The following is a 17,276-nucleotide window of genomic DNA, read 5'->3' on the forward strand; positions in this document are numbered from 1 at the left end:
ACAGACCAAACTGTAGTGATTCAAAGGCAGTCAGACGTTAACAATCACCAGCATATCAAGTCCCATTTGTTTTCAGTGAGGAGATACAGAAAAAAAGATAGACAAAAAATGAACTGGAAAATGACCCTTAGAACTCTACATGAGGAGAGTTCCTATAAAGAATTGTAGTGATATGTCCCAAATGCTTAGAGAGCTACAACTTCCCTTCTGTTATCACCATTTTTCTTAATTTATAAATTGTTTTTGCCATATTTCCTCTTTTTAATCTATTATTTTCAATCCATCACTGATCAATCTGTAAGTCAATGAATAGAATTCAGTAAACTGTATGTGGTATAGTAGATATAAACATGACTACTTTCAAGGAGTTTTTAACCTTATGTAGATTCAAATAATTGGACCTCTAATTCTCAGTAGGTTGAGTATAAAATAAAGTGATAAAATAGACGGTCAAGCTCTAAAGCTGCATGAATCCAGTAAATACAAAAATAAGTGATGATTCAATTAGTCAAGAAGTAATTATATAGGTACCAAAACAGAGCTGGACCCTGAAGGGTACAGATCAATAAAATAGAGGAGGTCTTAGCTCTTGAAGTTGGTGATTAGTATTATGTTCATTTTTAAATGAGCATCAAATATTGAGCATGTACTACATGCCAGGCTAAAGACTTTTAGACTCTGAGATATGATGTTGAACAAGACAGACAATATTTGCTCAAATGAGGTTTACATGCCTTGAGGAGAGCCACTCAATAAAGAAATAAACTGGTAGACAAAGGAGCTGATATTACATAGTGGAAGGTTTATGAAGAAACTAAATAGTGTGATATGGCAGAGAGAGACTGGGAAAGGAGGCTAATTAGCTTGGGTAGTGACGAGCTGCCTCTTAATGTGAAGTCAGTCACATAAAGATGTGGGTGCAGTATGCGCCAAACAAGGGGAGAAGCATATTGGTAGAGCTTAGGGCAGAAATGGACTTGGATTTATTCTGAGAACGGAAGGAAGGTTCATGGTTGAAGTGGAGAGTGGTAGGAAGTGAGATCTGAGAGGTAGATTTGGGTAAACCATGCAGAGCCTTGCTGGCCATGATGAGGTGCTTACTGGTGATTGGGTATATTTCTTTATGAAGTGTTTTTCAAACTTTTTGCCTGTTTTTGTTGTTGTTGTTGTTGTTGTTGTTTTGTTCTTTTTTTTTTAAGTGTGGCTTTTAAATAATTTTCCTGTTTGAGGTTCAGGTAACTTCTTAAATCTTAAGCTGGATGTCTTTTATCAGTGTTATACAATTTTATCAGGCACAGTTTCTTTGAATATTGCTTCTTTCTAATTAATTTTCCTCTCTCCTGGATCTATGAGTACATCTATGTGAGACCTATTTACCCTGTCCCCATATGTCTCTTAAACCCTTTTCTATATTTTCTACCCTCTTATGTTTTGTACTGTAATTTCTTTTTATCAAGTTTTAAATTCATTTTATTAGTCCTGTATCATTTCTGCTATTATATTTATTGCATTTTTTTATTTATGTGATTTTTCTCATTTGATTATTTTCTTATGGATTTTAGTTTTCCATTGAACTTCTCCAATTTTTTCCCAATTTTCCTGAACCATATTAAATAGCTACTTTAATATATATTTGCTTAAATATATGGAGTTTTTTTAAAGTCCATGTATGATAACTGTAATATTTAGGTCCCCTGTGGATCTATGTATGTTTTCTGCTATTTTTCTAATTTTTAGTCATTTAGCCTACTTCTTGGTATGCTTGGTTGTTTTTTATTGAATAGTGGACATGGTGTGTTGACAATTTAAAAATCTCCAGGTAACACTTTCCTCCTCTGAAGAGCATTTAATTTTTTTATTAAAGAGAAGAGAAGGCAGTCAGACCATGTTTAGTCAAGTCAAGTCCCTTTTGAGTTTGCCTTATTCTTAGAGTTTAGCCCTTTAAGGTTTTTCACTGAATATCTGGGCTGCCTACCGTAGCCCCTTTCATGAGTGCACCTTGGACTCCATTTCCAACATCGGGAAATTGCTAATATTTGTTGATTTTTAGTCTCTTACAGTTGTTTGCCGCTTTTTTTTTTTGGAGACTGTCCTTGTGTATGTGAAATTTGGAAACCAACAAATGCTTCTAAGGGCAATTTCATATAGATTGCTTGTTTCACTTATCTGTGGTTCTCTCTGTTTTCCAGCATCTTGAATTCTCAAAATCTGTCTATTTTACAGCTCTTAATTAATTTTTTCCCTGAAGTCAGTGAGATTATTCCAACTATTAGGCAACTTTTTTTTTTTCTGGTATGTCCCTGTGACTAGCACTTCAAAGTTATAAATGTTTCTGAAGCTCTTATTCACCTCTATAAATTTCCCTTTTATCTGGAATTTTGACTGTCTTTTGCCACTCTTTGATGTTTTCAAACAGCTGTTTTGTGTTTTGTTTTGTTCCAGTGGGTGTATTAGTCTCGTAGTAGCTACTTCACCATACCTACAAGCAAAGACCCTCCCCCTTTAACTTTTAAAATAATAGTGTTATCTACATTACTTAGTATTCTACCATATTTGACATTGGACTCCTAATGTACTTTGAGTACAGACATATGTCTATATGACCAAAAGAGCTCATCACACGGAACACTTACTTGCAGAACAGGAGAGGAATCTGCCCTAAACACCAACTCCTGCTTTTCCCCTTATACTGATAGGAAACTCATTCTGGTCAGTATTATGAAGGCCATTTGTTTACATATTAGTCACAAAATACGTAACTATTTAGGTTCATTATCAAAGCAGATAGTTGCACATTAAAGCTGTTGTTTAATGATAGGGGATGAACATATACATCCCTCTTCAAATTTTTACTTTATAGGATAGGATGATATAAAATAGATTATCTAATTAATATGGGACACCTGAAAATCCCAGGAAGCAACAGCATGGACAATGGCCTGGAGGAAGATAGAGCTTTGCACATTTATAGATTCCAGAGAAGTCCAGTATGTCTGAGGAGCAGAATGTTGAAAGAAGCAGCAGAAGCAATGAACAGAGTTCGGGGCTTTGTAAGCCAATTTGAAGAGATTGGACTTTGACATCAAGCCAATGGGAAACCATTTAAACTTACTTAAACAAGATTTAAATTTTAAAATGATTCCTGTGTTTCTATGTAATAAATGGAATAGAACAGGAAAGAAAAAAAGGAGACAATTTAGGAGGCTATTAACAGTAGTTTGGTTTATGGTGACATCAGCATAGATAGTAAAAAATGATTGTATTCAGAATCTGCTTTGGAGGCATAAATGGCTTGGTAATTGACAGCATGGGTGAATGGGAGGGATGACACTCATATTGTGGCCTGGGGAATAGGAGGCTGCTGGGGAGCTCCATCACTGAAACAGAAGATACTAAGGCAGAAGCATTTTTTCAAGAGACAATGATAAATTCAGTTTTCAGCAGGTTGGGTTTTAGGCACCTCTGAGATATTCAAGTCAGGATGTCTAGCAATCAATTAGGTAGACATTTTTGTGGTTGGGAGAAAGACCTGGATTGCGGATACAGATTTAGAGTCATTATCATAGAGATGTTAACTGAAGCCATAGAGGGAGAGAGGAGTGTTTCCGGCAGTGTAGGGGAGTTAAGGTGGAGAAATAAAGAGAGACAAAACTCTGAGAAATGCCCACATTGCAGACGTGATTATTTTTTAAGGGTAAAAAGCAAACAAGAGTAAGAAAGAGTGAGAGTGAGAAGTTGTCAAGACTGCAGCATGCTGCCGCCTTGCAGTTTGATCTCAGACTGCTGTGCTAGCAATGAGCGAGGCTCTGTGGGCGTAGGACCCTCTGAGCCAGGTGCAGGATATAATCTCCTGGTGTGCCGTTTGCTAAGACCATTGGAAAAGCGCGGTATTAGGGTGGGAGTGATCTGATTTTCCAGGTGCCCTCTGTCACCCCTTTCTTTGACTAGGAAAGGGAATTCCCTGACCCCTTGCGCTTCCCGGGTGAGGCGATGCCTCGCCCTGCTTCGGCTCACGCTCTGTGCACTGCACCCACTGTCCTGCACCCACTTTCTGACACTTCCCAGTGAGATGAACCCAGTACCTCAGTTGGAAATGCAGAAATCACCTGTCTTCTGCGTCGCTCACACTGGGAGCTGTAGACTGGAGCTGTTGTGGGGTGGGGGGAGTGGGGAGGGATAGCATTAGGAGATATACCTAATGTTAAATGATGAGTTAATGAGTGCAGCACACCAACATGGCACATGTATACATATGTAACTAACCTGCACGTTATGCACATGTACCCTAAAACTTAAAGTATATAAAAAAAAAAAGACTGCACCATGATGGATTCTGAGAGCAGAGAGTCTCACTAATGTCTCAAGTTTCCAAAGCTGGAATGTGTCAAGAAGTGTCAAAAACTGTGAAGGATGGAAGATTTTACCTACTTGCAAGTTAACAGATTATTCAGTCACAATTTCAAGGGTACTAACCAAAGACATGAGACTCTGGAGCCAGAGCCAAAGGACTGTATTATCTGTGGCTGAGCAGGCTCAAGCAGCACGGGGGCAGTAAGGAGTGGGCCTCAGTGAGTGTGGCATACACAGAGAGCTTGCATCACAGCTCATGGATTTAGGAAATCCTAGTCTTTTGTATTTTTCTGCAAGCAAAGATGCCCATATTTGCCTGGGAGGGGGACATCTTTATTTTATGCGACAGCAAATAATGGATCCCCTCTCAAAGGAGTCCCTATATTCCAAGAAGATACCATGTACAAAAATCCTTGAAAATACATTCCAGAACAAAAGACTATCAGTGCCTCTGCTTTCATGATGTGCAAAAATGTGTGGAATCCCTGGAGAATTATCTCTCAAGGGAAGGATAAAAATAATTACAACACAAACTATTATCTATTCAACATATATTTTGTGCCGTACACTATACTAATTATCTTTTCTCTAATTAACATGTCAAAACAACTCTATTAGGTAAGTTCTTTTATTATTTTCATTTTATGGATAAAATAAAATAAAATACTAAAAGGTTAACAAATTTGCCCATAGTCACACAGGTAGCAAATGGTGAAGCCATGATCTGAACTTGGATACTTTGACTTCTAATCTCTATCATGTCCTGACTCATAGTGTAAGCAAACAGCATATAAGGCATATTCATTGGCTATTGGCTGCAGCAAAATAATGGTCACTGATGACCACACTGAAAGTCATTTCAGTGCAGTAATAGGAGCAGAATCCAGATTGGAGTAAATTGCAGAATCATTGGGAGCAGCATGAACTGAGATAGGGAACATAAAAAACTCATTCAAAACCTTTGATTGTGTATATAGGTTAGCAACAAAAAAATCAAGAAAGGATTTTTTTTAAAGTATATGGAGATATTTTTGTCTGCTTATGCGTGGATGTCAATTAAGAAAGGAAAAAGGTAACATGGGGTGCAGGAGAGGGTTATTGACAATATTGCAAGAGGCAAAGCCAAAGAAAATAGAGTGGCGTGCACACATGGGGAGATGGGCGAGCTACCTCCTCCATGATTACGGGCAGGTTTTGTAGCTGTGCAGGGGTTGGGTAGCTCCTATTTGATAGCTTCTCTTTGATCTGTGAGGTGGAAGGTGAGATTTCCGGCTGAGATTACAATGCAGGTGACTGGAGGAAGTGGTCTAAATTTTGAGAACAGAGTAGCTTTCTGTGAAGGGCAGATAGGCAAGGAGTTTAATGTGAGTTTCTTTAGCAGTGCTCCAGTGCTGATTTGCCAGGAGTAGAAGGAGTAGGGGAGATCAGGATATGGAAACAAAGTGTAGTTGATGTGAATGGGCCATGAAATCAAAGCTGAACAGGAAACGAAGTGAAGAAAGAAGTGAAGGTGGTAGGAAGCTAGTAGATAAGAAAAAAGCTGAGGGTAGTCCATGAACTTTATTTTTCATTTTTTTTTAATTATTGATTTAATATTATTTAAAATGGTGGGTGATGTGGGAAGGTATCCCAACATGATCATGCAGTGGCATAATCATGGCTCACTGCAGCCTTGTCCTCCTGGGCTCAAGACATCCTCCCGCCTCAGCCTCCAGTGTAGCTGAAACTATAGGCATGTGTTACCACACCCAGCTAATTTTTGATTTTTTGTGGAGACAGGATCTCGCTGTGTTGCCCGGGCTGGTCTCAAACTTCTGGACACAAACAATCCTCCACATTGGCCTCCCAAAATGCTGGAATTACAGGTGTGAGCCACTGGACCAGCAGGACTCTAAATTTTGGTAAGATAAACACTGGTGTGGTGAAGTAATTGAGTGTCCTTCTTTAAACCATTAAATTATGTTTCATTTGGCATCAAATACCATAATCTCTGTCTCTTTACATCATGTCAAGCATCTATGACCACAGACATGAGAATTTGAGAATTAAGCTCCTGAATCTTTCTTTTTCACTGAACCGATGTTGACAGTGGGCGGTGCCTTCCACAGACAAAGATAAGGTACCATGTGAGGTTGCCAGGAAGAAAACTGCAGCCAGGACAGACCACCTAAATTGTAGAAAGCTTTCTGCTAAAGGAAGGAAGGTTTCCAAGGAGAAGAAAATGTGTGTCCTCAGGGAGTATTAAAGCGCTAGTGTTGGAAAACTGTGAAGCACACCTGTTCTCAGGATTGGCATGAAATCCAATGTTGATATTGATAAGTTTTCTATGGAAATGAAGTTTGTTTTCATTTGCCCTTACCCTCCTCTTCTGTGCTTCTTTTCATGTCTTTGCAATGACCTTCCTTAGGTACCTACCTTAATCCTATGGTTGTATTGCTTTTTAGATAAAACTTAAGAGAGGATACTTGACAGGCTTTCTCTATAGCATTTGATTATAGGGTGAATATATCCTCTTGAAATTTGCTGTTATAATTTCCCTCACCTGCTGTTGTTTTTCTACATTTTAAATGGTTCTTTTTCAATCTCCTTAATAACCTTCTCTTTCTCTACTTACCTTGTGAGATTTGGCATGCCCGCCTTGATCACTAATCATTACAGAAGATTGCTAATTGTTTACTCATATCTATTGCATTCCTGTATGGTAGTTGCATATCCATTTTCCTCTTCCTCCTTGGTAACAGAACTTCTGTGTTCATCTGGATTCATTGTTCAACAGGCTTAAAAACTACTTGTTCTCTCTTCCAGCTAGATGTGACCATGTGGCGAGGGTAGACAACTATCCTGATTTGCCTAAAAGTGAGGAATTTTCTGTGATGTGAGAGTTTCAGTAATAAAACTGGAAAAATCCCAGGCAAACCTAAATGAATTGGTCGCCTTACCTGTGACTAACATCTAGCTAAATGTGAAGGAAGTGTAGTGTGGGTGTAGGTTTCTCTTTTTAAATACACTTTATTGTGTACAGTGGATCCTTGGGTAATGTGGGAGTTAGGGGCACCTGGTTCTTGAATTTCTCTTCTTTACGTCTCACATCCAATTTATGGTCAATCCTTCTTTTTTTTTTTTTTTTTTTGGGATGGAGTCTCAGTCTGTCACCCAGGCTGGAGTGCAGTGGCATGATCTCAGCTCACTGCAAGCTCTGCCTCCCGGGTTCATGCCATTCTCCTGCCTCAGCCTCCCGAGTAGCTGGGTCTACAGGTGGCCGCCACCACGCCCGGCTAATTTTTTGTATTTTTAGCAGAGATGGGGTTTCACCGTGTTAGCCAGGATGGTCTTGATCTCCTGACCTCGTGATCTGCCCGCCTCAGCCTCCCAAAGTACTGGGATTACAGGCATAAGCCACCATGCCCGGCCCAGTCCTTCTTAATAATATATATAAAATCTGACCTTGTAACTCTAAACTTATATTGGTTTAGCTCCTCGTGATGTCTCTCTTGGACAATAAATTGTCTCAAATATTTATAAAGTATGCAGTATTATTGATAGAGACATCCAGAATTATCTTTTTGAACACATCTCTGATCATGTGCCTTCCTAAATTAAAATCCTTGTTATTGCCTTCAAGGTATAATGTAAAATCAATAGCTAGGCCTATGACGTGCTTCAGAGTTGGCCTGCTCTAGCTCTGCCACATCGTCTTGTGCCAATCCATCATCACATGGATACTAGCACTGAACAGTTCTAGTCCACGGATACTACTAGTACTGTTCTCTTGTATAGGACAAACACACTGGCTTTTAAGTGTGTCAAGGACTCCCCCAGTGCAGGGCCATTGCACATGCAGCTTCTTCGGTTTGGAACACTCTCTTCCCCACTGTGATCAAATGCTAAAAACAGAGGTTTCCAAAATTTCTTGGTTCATGCCACCTTTAGTGACTCAGTAATTTCTCACAGTGTCTGTGGGTGCTCATACATATTAATGTACTAACAACTCAGTTGCCATTTAAAAAGAAATACACTTGTGTTCAAAAAAATACTTCATATTTCTTTCTTAAATAATCACCATTACTTATCAATGGGATATGTTCTTCTGTTGGGTGTTACAGAATTTCTCAAAGGTTAGCATTGGATTGGGCCTTGTCACCCTCATTTCTCATTCCACAATGATTTTTGCATGGTAACAGCTTTTCATCTAGAAACCACAGAAAACCCAGCTCTGCAAAGGTACTGCATCATCAAAAAAATATATATACTATAATCCAGTGTTAAAACTGTGAACTCCCTTGAGGTCGTAGTTCATATGCTGCCTGACATTGCTCTCTTTTCCTAGCAATTTAAAAGTATCTCATGATTCTCCAAGGAGTTTCTGCAGTGCTCTAGAATACCTTGACACATAGTTTGGGAACCATGATGCTAAAAGAATGGCACTGAAAATAATGCCATAGGAATTTATTAGGTCATTAAAACTGTATTGTTTCACAAAGACCTGTACTGATTGTTATGTTCAAGACATGGTAATTGTAAGCTACTGTGAGCTAAGAGTCTTTTTGTTTAAGATTTATCTTAGACTTTATTGTAAATATAAAACTTTCTGCATTATATGGTATTTGAGTTTAAAGGATGGATTGTATATGTCAGATTAGCGAGGAAGGCTAAAATTAAGGCTAAAAATATAAACAAAAAATTCCTCCCTTATCTGACTATATAGCATTGTGATGAATATTGAAGTGTACCACCTAGATTGCCCCCTCAAGTTAGAAGCATGCATTCATCAGATGCTGGGAGTATTGACTGCTGATAGATGGTGGGAATTGCACTTGGTCAAAATGAGCTGTTTTGCACAAAATTATGTTCTTTCTTTGGAGGCAGCCTATGTCTGATGACTATTAAATATGGCAGTACAATGACCCAGTTTCCTTGCCTAAATTGGGACATCTCTGAGGATCCATTGCTTCTCCACAGCTCTCCAAGGGCCTGGCTTGCACCTCTGTTAAACTGTATCACAGTTCGATCACTTCCTCTGCCTAATCTTGCTTCCCCCTTTTACTCTCAGATTTTGGTCCCAAGTGTGCTCTTCAGTAAACTTGTTGCTCACAAATCTCTACCTTACCGTGGTGGTAGAGTGCCTTACCTAAGACAAAATCATATCAAGTGTCTTCTACTCAAGTATTATATTACTTATGAATATACCCTTTTGTATTGTTTTTGAGTTGGTAATTTATTTGAGTTTATACTGCTCTATTAAGAAGTCATTACACTGTATTAAGTACAAACTCTTAAAAACAATACATTGAACTATGTCTTAATGCCCCAATATGTTTTTCAAATTTTCTTTTATATTATGATAAGACAAAATTAAAAAAAAGAAAGAGCATGACATTTAGCTTCTGACACACCTCCTCTTCCCAATAAAATTAACACATACATTTCAAGATATGGGAAAATCTTATATTTCTAGGAATTGTGGTTAACATATTTTAACATTTAAAGATAATAATTGTAAAGTTCTTAATTGTTTCCAAAAAACAAATTGTCTTCGCTACATTTTGTTGCATGCAAATACATGCATAAATAAGAATATAACAAGTTTTTCTTTCTCATTTTATTGCCTCTCCAGGGACATAAAACAATGACTTTACTAAAATCATGCAACTTAATCTTCTGAGAAGTTGGATGTATATAAATTCAGGATTTTAAATTTTTGGCATATTGATTTTTTAAATGATTAAACCATCAGGAATGTAGTAAATAGCAAAGGGCTTCACAATCTCAGTCACTGTAGAAAAAGAGCGAGCAGAAAGCTTGGCAGAGGTGTGCAGTGTGGAGAAATGCAGAGGGTTGGATCCAGCCTTGGAACTGCATGATTCAGGGTGCAGGAGCATCAGTCATTAGTGGGACATTATCTGGCAATTCTGGAGGGATCTTGAGTCGTTTTGCAACAAGTTCCAAGCACACATAACACAATTCTTAGGGAGTTAGTGCTCTTACATTAGTCTGGCATTTTTGGATGGGTGCATATCATGAGCAAAAAGGTAGGATGACCCTGGATCCACAAAACATATTTGAAAACTATATCTCTGCTGTTTATTTTTAGAGTGCTTGTGGAAAGAGATAAATAAGTTGCTCAGATTACTCATTCAAGGGTAAAGTCACTTTAAAAAAATTGACAATGTAACAGTTTCAATTTTATCTGCATTGAGTCAAGTTTAGAATAACCATATTCAAGATAACAGTTGAAAGATAACCATTACAAAAATTTAAATCCGTGATTTATTTTTGCCAAAAGATGGTACTCATGTATCTGTTAAGATTGTTAAGGGAGATGTAAAGAAAAAAAACCACAACATTATTTCCATGAATCTGAAGGTATGAAACCTAGGGCTGTGGAATCATGGCAATATACTTGCATTTTACCATATTGCATTTGAAATGTAAACAACTTAATTTAAAAGATATGCTCCTGGAAATGTATTATTAAACAGCAGGCTCTCACAAGAGAGTTAACATGCCAAATTAAAGCACTTGTAAGTAAATGCCAGATTCTGCAACCATTTTACTATCTTCTATTTCAACAACAAAGCTGGAATGAAAGTATCAGAAGGACAAAAAAGGAAATAGTAAAACGATACATCAAAGTTACGTTTTGAAACTCAGAATTAATTAATTAATTAATTAATTATTATTTTACTTTAAGTTCTGGTATACATGTGCTGAACATACAGGTTTGTTACATAGGTGTACATGTGCCATGGTGGTTGCTGCACCTATCAACCTGTCGTTTAGGTTTTAAGTCCTGCATGAGTTAGGTATTTGTCCTAATGCTAACCCTCCCCCTTCCCCCCACCTCATGACAGGCCCTGATGTGTGATGTTCCCCTCCCTGTGTCCATGTGTTCTCATTGTTCAACTCCCAATTATGAGTGATAATATGTGGTGTTTGGTTTTTCTGTTCCTGTGTTAATTTGCTGATAATGATGGTTTCCAGCTTCATCCATGTCCCTACAAAGGACATGAACTCATCCTTTTTATGGCTGCATAGTATTCCATGGTGTATATGTGCCACATTTTCTTAATCCAGTCTATCATTGATGGGCATTTGGGCTGGCACCAAGTCTTTCATATTGTAAATAGTGCTGCAATATACATAGGTGTGCATATGTCTTTATATTAGAAGGATTTATAATCCTTTGGGTATATACCCAGTAATGGGATTGCTAGGTCAAATGGTATTTCTAGTTCTAGATCATTGAGGAATCACCACACTGTCTTCCACAATGGTTGAACTAATTACATTCCCGCCAACAGGGTAAACACGTTCCTATTTCTCCACAGCCTTGCCAGCATCTGTTGTTTACAGACTTTTTAATGATTGCCATTCTAACTGATGTGAGATGGTATCTCATTGTGGTTTTGATTTTCCTTTCTCTAATAACCTGTCATGTTGAGCTTTTTTCATATGTTTGTCGGCTGCATAAATATCTTCTTTTGAGAAATGTCTGTTCATATCTTTTGCCCACTTTTTGATGGGTTTTTTTTATTGCAAATTTGTTTAAGTTCCTTGTAGATATTCCTTGTGAATATTAGACCTTTGTCAGATAGATAGATTGCAAAATTTGTCTCCCATTCTGTAGGTTGCCTGTCCACTCTGATGATAGTTTCCTTTGCTGAGCAGAAGCTCTTTAGTTTAATTAGATCCCATTTGTCAATTTTGGCTTTTGACGCAATTGCTTTTGGTATTTTAGTCATGAATTCTTTGCCCAAGCTTATGTCCTGAATGGTATTGCCTAGGTTTTCTTCTAAGGTTTTTATGGCTTTAGGTTTTACATTTAAGTCTTTAATCCATCTTGAGTTAATTTTTATATAAGGTCTAAGTAAGGGGTTCAGTTTCTGTTTTCTGCATGTAGCTAGCCAGTTTTCCCAGAACCATTTATTAAATAAGGAATTCTTTCCCCACTGCTTGTTTTTGTCAAGTTTGTAGAAGATCAGATGGTTGTAGATTTGTGGTGTATTTTTTAGGCCTCTGTTCTGTTCCATTGGTCTATAGATCTGTTTTGGTACCAGTACCATGCTGTTTTGGTTACTGTAGCCTTGTAGTGTAGTTCGAAGTCAGGCAACGTGATGCCTCTAGCTTTGTTCTTTTTGCTTAGGATTGTCTTGACTTTATGGGCTCTTTTTGGTTCCATATGAAATTTAAAGTAATTGAATCTATAAATTAATTTGGGCAGTATGGCCATTTTCATGAAATTGATTATTCCTATCCATGAACATGGAATTTTTTTTCCATTTATTTGTGTCCTCTCTTATTTCCTTGAGCAGTAGTTTGTAGTTCTTCTTGAAGAGGTCTTTCACATCCTTGTAAGTTGTATTCCTAGGTATTTTTTTGTAGCAATTGTGAATGAGAATTCACTCATGATTTGGCTCTCTGCTTGTCTATTATTGGTGTATAGGAATTCTTGTGATTTTTGCACATTAATTTTGTATCCTGAGACTTTGGTGAAGTTGTTTATCAGCTTAAGGAGTTTTTGGGCTGGGACGATGGGGTTTTCTAAATATACAATCATGTCGTCTGCAAACAGAGACAATTTGACTTTCTCATTTCCTATTTATATACCCTTTATGTCTTTCTCTTGCCTGATTGCTCTGGCCAGAACTTCCAATACTATGTTGAACAGGAGTGATGAGAGAGGGCATCCTTGTCTTGTGCTGGTTTTCAAAGGGAATGCTTCCAGCTTTTCCCATTCAGTATGACACTGGCTATGAAACTCAGAATTTCATTGTTTTGCTAGGCAATCATGAAGATTGTGCCTTCTTTGTCTGCATAAGATGTGCTACTTAGCATCTCTACTAACAATTATTGAGCATCTACTGTATACCTGGCACTGTAATAAGTATTTAACATTCAGGATTTTACTTTATCCTTACAATAGCTTTAGGAAGTGTTATTCTTATCAAATTCATGTCATAGAAAACAGTGAAGCTAGTGATGACCTCATAGAGGTTAGTGATGGCAAACAGTGGGAGCCAATATTTGAATCTAATTCCAAATCTCACTGTCTTAACCACTATGCTATAATAATAGCTCTGTAACTATTTTGTTTAAAATTTGGACCTCAGTTTATAGAATATATTATTTTAACTTTTTCATTTTTAATCCTCTGTGTAGTTAATTACTTTTCATAAACACATTTGAAAGGGTGGCATATGTCCTAGAGTCCTACATCTTTGAACAGAATGCCAGTAATGCCACCCATTAGTGGTGTCATCTTGGACAGGCTTCTATATCTGGAAAATAATAGTGCTTACTTTAAGGACTGTTGTGAAAAATATAAATAATACATTTATAGGGTTTATATCCAGTAAGTACTCAGTATATGGAAATAGTTATTTTCTGAAAGGATCTAACAAAATGTAATTGTTATTCTACAGGCAAACTCTAGGTCATCAGTAAGAAGAGAAAGTTCTGTGCAGAAAATTACTAAGGCAAACATTCATCCTTCAAGTAAAATTAGAACATATATTTTTGTATAGGCAACCCCCCCGAAATTCATTAAATATATAACTTCAGAATTATCTCTGTAAAGATGACTTTAAGTTGCAAAATAATTCTTTACTGAAAAATTCATCAAATGATACATTTTGAAGTTGCAATTTGTTTTAATGCATTCATAATGTAATACAAGTGACATGTTTTGTAATTACATAAAATGAGATGAAAGTTAAAATGATTATTCCAAATCATCAAATCCCAGTACTTTCATTATCAAATCAAGATTATTTCCAACTTTACAGTATTAATTATTCTGCATATTTCTTTTATACATAAAGTTCTGGATTAGTTTCTTTCCTGAGAAAAGGCCTGTGACAAATCATATCTGAATCAAAATCTTACTGAATTTAAATAATTATCCTGGAAATGAGTGCACAATAAACTTGTTAAGTGAAGGCTAGGCATACAATCGAGGTAGTCAGTTGGTTTGTATATTTTCTATTTTGAATAGTATTAGATTTAATTTAAACCCATGTATGTATTCCCAAATACCTAATTATGGCTATTTCCAGTGAGATTTTTTTTCAAGTACAATTTAAATTTGAAAGTTCCCCAAAGTCATAACACAAATCTATGTTAAAAAATCTTGAGTCTCCTGGTGAATTTACTTTAACATGTCACCTCCTGCATTTTAGTACATGGATTAGTCTTTAGAAATGAAGAACATCTGGCTTTTGCCTGCTGTATAACATCCTCCCATCCTCTTCTTCAGGCTAAATAACCCCAATTCCCCTAGCTTCTCATTCTAAATCCATTTTCTAGCATTTAAATCACTCTGCTGATCAACCTGGACCTCTTCAAATTTACTCACCTCTCTGTTATGCTAAGCAGTCATAATTCATTAACTAGTTTTCAATCAGTAATAAAGCAGCTGTCACTCAATACATTCCCTGTTGTATGGCCCAATAGAAGAAAGACCACTCACACATACAAACAGAGTTGTATCCAACTATGCTTTGGATGCACATATTTGTTTATATTCTTATGTATCAACTTAAAGATTTGTGTATCATGCACTATATGCCAAGCTTATGTTACTCTTTATCAGACTCTTATTGGCATATACAATGTTCCTTGGCTGGTGATGATGGTGACATAGGGGTGAGCAATACAGACTTTTTCAGGTGCTTATATTCCAGTATGGGATTCATATAATAAGAGAATACAAATAAAATGTAATTATTATAAAAATTAAAATATTAACAGTGCTAAAAAGAAAAATAAAGCACTTAAAAATAGAAGCAAGTTTAGGCACAGGGCATGTAATGATAAATAAGAAGTCAAGGATGTTTGTATTGGCTGGGAGATAAAAGTTTGAATCTATAATAATATAATAATGACACTGATAAAACCTATATGTTTATTGAGAGCTTACTAGGCAATCATGCATTATATCAACAATGGCATATGCATTATCTCATTTGATTATCACAAAAATTTTACAAAGCAGATATTATTACTAGTCCCATTTTTCTAATGCTAAGATTGAGGCTTAAACAATTTTGGTAACTTTCTAAAGTCATCCAGTGATTAATTGGCAAGGCCTGAAGCAAAACCAGGTTTTTAGGACTCCAGAGTTTAATTTCTTGCCCTCTATTTGGTCAATTACATTAATATAATTACATATTACATATATAATATATATATATATACACACACACACTCATACATATACATATATACAAATACGCATTCAGAAACAAGGCCATATTGAGATACTTAGTTGCTCCAGTCATACAAATAATTTGGTGTCCTTAGAAAGGTTAATAATTTGGTATTCTGTCAAATTGATAGTCTAAAGATATTAGTTTAACATTTATTTGCGGGACAGGTTAAATGCTGTTAATGCTGTTAGCATAAGAGTGGAAAAGGAAATTCTCTGCTTTTTCTGTAATTCTGAGAAACAATATTCAACAAAACAAAAACTTTGTCTTCCTATGACAAAACCTACTCTTCTCAGAAGGATTTTTTGTGATGTTTTTATTACTCATGCATTTACTTGGGGTTCTCAGCCTATAACTACATTCCCCGTAGCTTTTCAAAATATTCCTTCCAACACTGTTAGCACTCTCCTGGGATTTTTAAACAAGACTTTCTTGTTCTGGAATGATATAAGCTTAATATAACTTTTTTTAACAGGATCTTTTGATATGGGCAATGTGACTAGGTGATCCAGAAACTTCAGAAACCGGCGTTGGTTTGCATCAGGTGCAAACAGGGGCAGAAACAAAGGGGCTAAAATCTTGAATCTGATGAAGTCTTCTATGTACTTAGTGTATATGAATCCTATGACATAGATTCCAATGCCCTAGGAACTAAAAAGAAACATGGAGAAAATTCATGCTTTTGTCTCTGGGCTGCCGAAGCTCTTACTTAGATTATACACGCACTAATCATGAAATTATTCACAAGTGGGTGTTTTTCTTAAGTTATGAAACTGTAGCCTAAACGTATGATCCAGTTAATTTCTTTATCACTCTAGTGTGTTTGACATAAGGCTTATGTAAAGAAATATGTATTCTGGAGAACCACTCTAAGATAATTTCTCCCATTTGCCATTGATGATTGCATTTAAATAATGAAAAATGACAAGTTTAAGTAAAGGCCAGAAGTTACCGTAATCTCCCACTTACTAGTTCACCCTCAAAGGTCACTGACTTCATTCAACTTTCACTTTATCTCTCTTGCCTGTTAATTGTCTTTAGAAGGAACTGCTCTCTTTACATAATTGCTGCTACAGCCCTCCCTCTCCCATCCAGACCCCTTTCTTCCTTCATAGCATCTCCTCATCCACACATTTTCCTCCACACACTGCGAGAGATGAGCTTTATTTGAAAGAAAAGATGATGCTTCTCTTTTACATGATGGCTCTCAATGAAAATGCTGTCCTCTCATTCTGCTCCTAGTCTTGCTTCTATTTCCAGGAACGATGCCCCTCTCTGGACACTCTGCGTTCATAAATTGGGTTTGGCTTATTTAGGATTAGTGGCCCTCTTCTGGCTAAGTTTATGATATTCTGCTCTCTTTCTGTGGGAGACAGAGTCAGGCTCATTATGTTGAAATAATGTTTGCTGCTTAAAAGTTTTCACATAGAACCTTGAGCTCTTCAGGGAAAAGATACTATATAAATCCAATAAAGAATGAATACATGCATAATAAAAGGCTGGTCAATGCTGAGTATAGGGAGAAATTTTTTTTTTTGCTACTATGCAAGAGACACTGTAAATTACAATTTTCCAAAAGCATAGCAGCTTATTAAAAGAAACAAGATTATCAGATATTTCCCTTCTCTCCTGAGAATAAATGAGGAAGAAATGGGCTTAAATTGCAGAAGAAGGAATTTGGGTTAGATACAGTTTGTTTCTATGGGGCTATTACACTTA

At 36.7% G+C, this 17,276-nt stretch overlaps 1 long non-coding RNA gene across 1 annotated transcript in view; it reads left to right on the top strand.

The window, feature by feature from the left end:
- Nucleotides 1–6,146: 6,146 nt before the first annotated feature.
- LINC01036 (long intergenic non-protein coding RNA 1036) overlaps nucleotides 6,147–17,276 on the top strand; it is a 267,403-nt gene continuing 256,273 nt past the window's right edge. The window contains exon 1 of the long non-coding RNA NR_126347.1: nucleotides 6,147–6,251. This is a non-coding gene — a long non-coding RNA (long intergenic non-protein coding RNA 1036). The remainder of the gene's footprint in view (nucleotides 6,252–17,276) is intronic.

Source organism: Homo sapiens, chromosome 1 (genome assembly GCF_000001405.40).
Source record: "Homo sapiens chromosome 1, GRCh38.p14 Primary Assembly".
NCBI lineage: Eukaryota > Metazoa > Chordata > Mammalia > Primates > Hominidae > Homo > Homo sapiens.